At 31.6% G+C, this 6,944-nt stretch overlaps 1 protein-coding gene across 3 annotated transcripts in view; it reads left to right on the forward strand.

The window, feature by feature from the left end:
* Positions 1 to 6,944, forward strand: part of ELP4 (elongator acetyltransferase complex subunit 4) — a 280,558-nt gene that overhangs the window by 123,360 nt on the left and 150,254 nt on the right. The gene's annotated exons all lie outside the window — the stretch shown is intronic.

Consider the following 6,944-nt stretch of genomic DNA (forward strand, 5'->3'; position numbering starts at 1 on the left):
GTAAATGTTAAATGAATATTGAATCTTTATAAAGTTATGTAATCTTAGTATCTCTGTTCCAACATACCCAGACCCTACCTGCAAATAGCAAATTTATTAAAATGACATTTAGTTACATTCATTATATACAGCATATATAGCAAATATGACTGAAAAGTGTGACAAATGAAAAGTGAATTTAGCTAGATGCAGTGCCTTACACCTGTAATCCCAGCACTTTGGGAGGCTGAGGCAGAAGGATCACCTGAGGCAAGAAGTTCAGCCAGGGTAACATAGCAAGTCCCCATCTCTACAAAAAATTAAATTAAATTTTAAAAGAAGTGAATTTGGTCTCCTTGGCCAGTAGAATTTATTTATTTATAATGGGCAGCAGAGGATGATTCGGTTTTCCTTGAAGGGCTTTTTATACATTGTATCTGGACCTAAATTATTATTATTAGTTTACAGTTGCAGACATATCATAAGGAAACTCTTTTCTCTAATCATGCTAGACATTGTATACATACTTGTATTGCTTTCATTGTTAATAAGTTATCATAAATTTAGTACTCGAATAATAGTTTGGGTAGACCTGGTGAGCTTTTTATGATAAATAAACATGAAACAGACTTATCAGATACTGGTGAAAATACTACTACTTATACTACTACTACTACTGTGCTGTTACTACAACTATTTATTAGCCATGTACTACATCCCAAGCACTTTACAAGTATTATGTCCTTGAATCTTCAGTGCTACCCTGTGAAACAGATAGTTTTTACCTCTGTTTCCATAGGGTCACCCAGTTAATAAGTAGCAGGCCAGTGTTCTTCCCTGACTTCAAACCTTATCACCCTCACCATTAGGTTATATGGCTTCACTAATCATCACAAAAACCCTGCAAGATAGCTGTGATTTCACCCTTTGCAAAGACAACTATACTGAAGTTAAATGATTATCCAATATCCCATATCTGTTGTACATTTTAAGCTGCTATTCAAGCTCGGATCTGGCTAACTCTAAAATTTAAACTCTTTACCCTCTGTCACACTATATCCTATGTGTCCTGAATTATTAACTACCTTTGATGACACTAAGTTTCTATTAGGAAAAAAAAGTTACTGGCTAACATTGTAATTATTCCATATTTATTAAGAGAAAATTATTATTGTAAAATATTTGATAAATTAGTACATATAAAAGATTAAACAAAAAGTTCCATTCTAGACAAGAGAGAAAAAAGATGAAAATATGCTTCCTTTTGCATAATTGCAAAGCAAAGAAAAACAATCATGAAAAAAATATATGTACATATGTAACTTTAAATTTTATTCCAAAGGGGCCTCTGTGAGAAAACAGAAAGAAAGAAAAGGGAAACACTTTTTTAAAGCCATTTTGTTGGTGAGCATCTTTATTACTTAAGGAAGAGATTCCCATTGCGGATTTCTGTGACAGTGAATCCTGTACCCTCTGTTTAAGGGAACAGCAGATTCTATCAGATGACCTCCAATCAGCCTATCTAGATAACTGATTAAATAATGAGTGAATGATGTAGTGATCTGGATGTCTGAACCTGAAACAATATTTTAACTTTGATACTTTACAGGTATATTTCAGCCCCTGTATAACTGGAAGAGAGATTAAATTTATGCTTCTTAACATAGCAGTAAAGAGACTTCTTTGAAATAGACATAGCAAAATATAGGGTCAGATTTTGGTAATGAGTATAAAGTTATATAGTGTGACAAAGAATTAAGACATATTCCTCAAAACAGAGAATGTCTTTTTTTAAAAAACTGCACAACCTTCTAAAATTTTTCCAATTTTCAATCTCTCATTCCTAGACGATTTTGCAAAGTTATCATATAGTAGTCTTCTGGCCCTAATACCAATTGAGTTATAAAAAACAAGTAAATTTTCCCTTGCTCTTTGAACATAATGTCTGACCATATATTTGTTTTTATATGAAAATGTTTAGGAGAAAATATAAAACTTGTACTTGTTCAAACCCATCATTATATAAATATGAAGTAAAACTTTTAAGAACTTTTAAAGTCTGTCAAGGAAAATCAGTCTTTTGGCTAAGGAAAGAGAATAAGAATTGCAAGCAGTATGCTTAGAAAGGTAATCAAAGATGTACGAATACATATAACCAGGGCACTGTGAGTTTATTTAATAAAAAGTTACGTGGTGATTACTATGGGCCAGTTGCAGTCCTTAATGCTTTTCAAATATCAACTCATTTAATTCTCATAATAACCCTGTATGGTTGGTACTGTCATTATCTTTTCCCAAGATCACACAGCTAATGAGTGGCAGACTTTAGACTTAAGTAGTCTACCTCCTATTACCATAATCTTAACGCCACTGTGCTGTGCTACTTGTTCAACCTAGATACTAGAGTCAAAATTTAGAAACAAACTGCACAAAGTACCATTCGATGATAGAAAGAACCTGGGATCTTAGAGGCAGATGGATCCAACTAGTTTCATAGTCTTAGTCAAGTCTTAATTTTTTCAGCCTCAGCTTCATCTGTGAAAATGGAGCAAAAAGTATCCAGTGAAGAGGATTAGTAATAACATGTACTTAAACAGTGCTGGCACATAGTAGGCATTCAATATATGTTAGCAGTTGTCATCTTCACTATTATTACTTAAACAGATCTCCAAAATTGAGGATTTGAACAGAGATCAGGCTACAAAAAATAAGATATAAAAGTCTATCAAAGCAATAGAAATCTCCAGCAGCCTCTTTTTATGAAAAACACTGACAGGATCTTCTCACAGGTTAGGCCTGAGACAGACCAGGAGGCATAGATAAAGTCAGTTGGCCATCCAAATATTAGTAGCATCACCATGTTGTAACAAGACTCTTTAAACATCATTCATCAACTTCCTGTCCACTATGACCAGTGCCACCTCTGGAGATTGTAAGTTAGGGTTTAAATGGTGATTGAATGACTGTGGGTAAGTTAGCTTATACACTTATTTAACAAATAATGCAGGCACTGTTCTAGGCACCCATAGGGATACAGTAGCAAACAAGACAAACAAGATTCCTATTCACATGGAACTTTTTCAACAATGTAAAAGATAGGATGGAACAGAAAAGTAGTATATGTGAGTATATGAATACTTGAGCTTGGGGATGGTAGTAGAGTGGTTTCGGGCAGAAGTAGAAATGTAGTTGGATATCCTTGAAAATTTTATCATACATATAGTTGGGTATGTATAGATAATAAAATTGTGATATCTTTATTTGAGTGCATTATATAAATTAATATTAAAGGTACTTTGTATAAAATATCCTTATTTCTTGAATTGTTAAACCAGCCAATCGGTGTTCTTACTTTAGTTATTAGCATTCTGTCAGACTTGTATAGTAATGATTAGTTACCCTTTATTGTACTTTTGGCATGCTTCCCATGTTTAATTTCATTGTAGGGGAAAGAACACATAGTTAAGGAAATTGCAAAGAGAGGGAAAAGTTAAAATAGGGAAAATAATGACATAGATTCAAAACTGATTTTAACTTATTGTTATAATAAGACTTTTGTGAGTAGAATGAAGAAGACTTATTTTTTAATTTGCATTTGAAATGTTTTATGTTCAGTCCCACAACTTTGAACTTGAAATTTCTTATTTCCTTCAGGTTGAAGATTATTTTCTTTAATGCCACAGGAAAAAAATGGCAAGCATACTTTGGAACGAGTATATAAAAATAAATTCTAAATATCTGTTAAGAAAACACGAAAATTGTTCAACAAATATATTATGAATGTCTTAAGTGTATATGCATATAATCTTAAACAATTTTCCCTTTGAAGTAATATTATTACTCATATTGTCTCTTGATAGAATATAGTTTTAGTATCTGCCCAAAGACATTGAACTAAAAATGTGTGTGAAAATGGCTAAGTTAAGTACAGACTTTGTTACATGCTGAACTGTGGAGTAAAGTGTCATTAGAAGGAGCAGAACTATGGACGGCTCCCCTATATTCCAGCATTACTCAGTTCCCAGATCCCTGCTGTGTAGTTGTTCCACTCGCCAAGAAGCCTGTTAAAGAGCCCCCAAGAGCATGTGTACAGCCCTCCATGTTAATAGTTAATTGGTGAGGATGGCAAGATGAGAGGACAGCCGAACATGTGGTCTCTCAGACTCAAGCAGTAGACAGACCTTTAGTTATAATAACAGCAGCTGCTCACATTCTCACAACTCAACTGTTCAAAACTCTGTTGTTGAATGAAGGAGGTTGTCGTGGATTGAAAGAAGAAAAAAAGAAAAGGTTACTTCTAAGAAAAGTAACTAAAACACTATATTTAAACTCTTCCTACATATTATTATAATTATAAGAATATTATTGCAACTTTTAAAAACTTTGGTGTAAATACCCATATTAAAGGTTATTATATTTTGGCTACACTCAGCATTGTGCTGCTTGTCCCCCTTTTACTGTTAGAAACAGAAATGTTTTTGTACCCTTTGAAACTTTTTAATGAGTTATCTTTTTCTTTTGCAAAGTGGTAACTTTAAAGCAGTTACAATAGGATACTGTTTGACTTCCATATCTAGCAAGATATGAAACAATAATTTGTTGTTCTGTAAATGGGAATTGGCTTACCACTAGCAAAATTTGTCATCCACCTCCAAATTATGCAAACATTTTGTGGCTTTTGAAAATAGGTAATTTTATTTTCAATTCCCAGTAACAGTTGTGTGCTTCAAGAAATGGTGACCAATAACACTTATTCTTTTTGGAAATAGAAACTTAGTTTTGTGCCTTATGATGATTTTATTAGTGAGGTGAAAAGAAAATAAATTTCCCCTTGTTTATGCATTTTTTAGTATAATCTGTGGCAAGTTGTTTTTGATTTGTATTTTTTAAGGCACTTTTACCTAAAACTGTCAGGAAATAAATATTGAAACACTTAAACTAATTAATAAAATTAGAAATGGAGAAAGTTGTCTTATACCATTCTCACAGCATTTTTTTCAAAAAGAAAATTTACTTATTATTGCTAATCTTTATTCAAGCTGTCATAGTCTGCACTTTTAAGGAATTTTAAAATATAAACAACAATAATGCAAGAATGAAAACTCCTTTGACATTCTGGATCATAGAATATGTCAGTATGTTTTTTTCATTGTATAATAATTTTAAGTATTGCCAGAGTTTAATGTACTTGTCTAGAGAACAGTAGTTGGTAAACTATTTAGCTTTCCTTTATTCAACCAAATTTCAGATTTGAAACTAGCCTATAGCATATTTTCATTTGTCATCATTGACACTTGATCAATTAATAGCCTTATTCAATTTTTGTCATATACCCACTGTTTTATAATAATTTGATCTGTAGAATTTTTTCCCAGCTATCTCATTGAAGAAAACTATTACCAGCATGTTAGCTTATACCAAGGAAAATTCATTTTCTGACGAAAAGGAGGGAGAAAGGGCCTTTTTAAAATATGTCTCTTGAAAAATGAATGAGATTTTATTTAGTGTGTTATTTTAATTGATGTGTTTTCAAATTAATCTTCTATAACATTAATGTATTAGAGCTTTGAACCTACTGAAGTGAATGATACAGTATGTTTCTATGTAGAGAAATTCAGAACAAACCTTTTCACATCCATAAACTTTTTTGTTCATGCTGAGTATTTTAGCAGCTAAACTCTAAGTCTAGCAATGGACCGCTTTAGAACTAACCACTAATATGGGATTATGAAATGTGGACTCCAATGGCCTTGTGAATTTCTCTCAGTGTGAAATCTTTTATTCTTAAAACAAGAACTAAGAATAATTGCATGGTGAAGAAAAATATACTTTTGTGAGTTTACAGCTATAAATTTTGGGAAAATATTTTTTATCTAATTGTTGATCTAAGCATAACACCACCTTCAGTCATCTAACTTTATTTCAAATGATCTTTTTAAATGCACTTTATTAAGAAGAATAGTTAGGGATGAAAATTACAGATTAATCTCTTGATCATAGCTACAGTTACTAAAGGATAAAGCCAGATATTCAGAGTGTCATTTTTTATGAATTCTTTTCTTAATCAGAATATTCTTAACTGAGAATCTGCCTTTAATGTTTTCAGATCTTCTTAACGACTCTGAAATTGATTATAAGAAATTTACGTATTTAAGAGTTTAAAAAGAAGCAGTTTTTAAAATGAACTAAATTATATTATATCCATTTCAGTTTTACATCATATTTATCAAATTCCAGTGACTTTGTGTCAGTATAGTAAGTTGTAAACAGAATCTGTTTTTCTTTAAAATAACAAATAGTCTGTGTTTCAGTCCTTCTACCATAGACTTTGGACTTATAATTCTTACAGCTCAAGCTTTTTTTCTTGTTTCAGACTACACATGCTGATACCCGGTTAATTTTTAAAGTCACATCATAGCTTGTGTGCGTTATACGTATATATTTAATTTACTTTTTTGGACAAGGATGATTGAAACTTTTTACACAAACTCTAAATTATCTATAAAGTTCTGTCTATATTAAGCATAGTAGTATATGTATAACTTTGTCTTTGTGTAAATATGCATATTGAATAAGAACAGGATATATTTTAAATCGTCAGTAAGGATATATTTTAAATTGTCATTTTCATCTTTAAAAGAGAAGTACGATTCAGAAACCTTTCATTACACTTAATCTAACCAAAACATATTCAGTAAACCATAAAAAAAATTTGGTTTAAAATATTTTTCCTTTCTCTAAAATAACTTTGTGATGTTCTTGTTCATACTGTTATTCATTCTGTAGTTCCTATAATGGTAGTAGTTATTAGCTAAAGGGCTATTTAGGGCCAAACTTTTCAAATGTATCAATGATATAAATAGTGAAATGTCTCATCACGGTATGGAGATTGAGTCATCTGTTTGGACATATGGAATCTTTGGCTGCTGGACTGCATCATCTTTATAATGCCCAGTGTCCAAGGA

The sequence above is a fragment of the Homo sapiens genome, chromosome 11 (genome assembly GCF_000001405.40).
Source record: "Homo sapiens chromosome 11, GRCh38.p14 Primary Assembly".
NCBI lineage: Eukaryota > Metazoa > Chordata > Mammalia > Primates > Hominidae > Homo > Homo sapiens.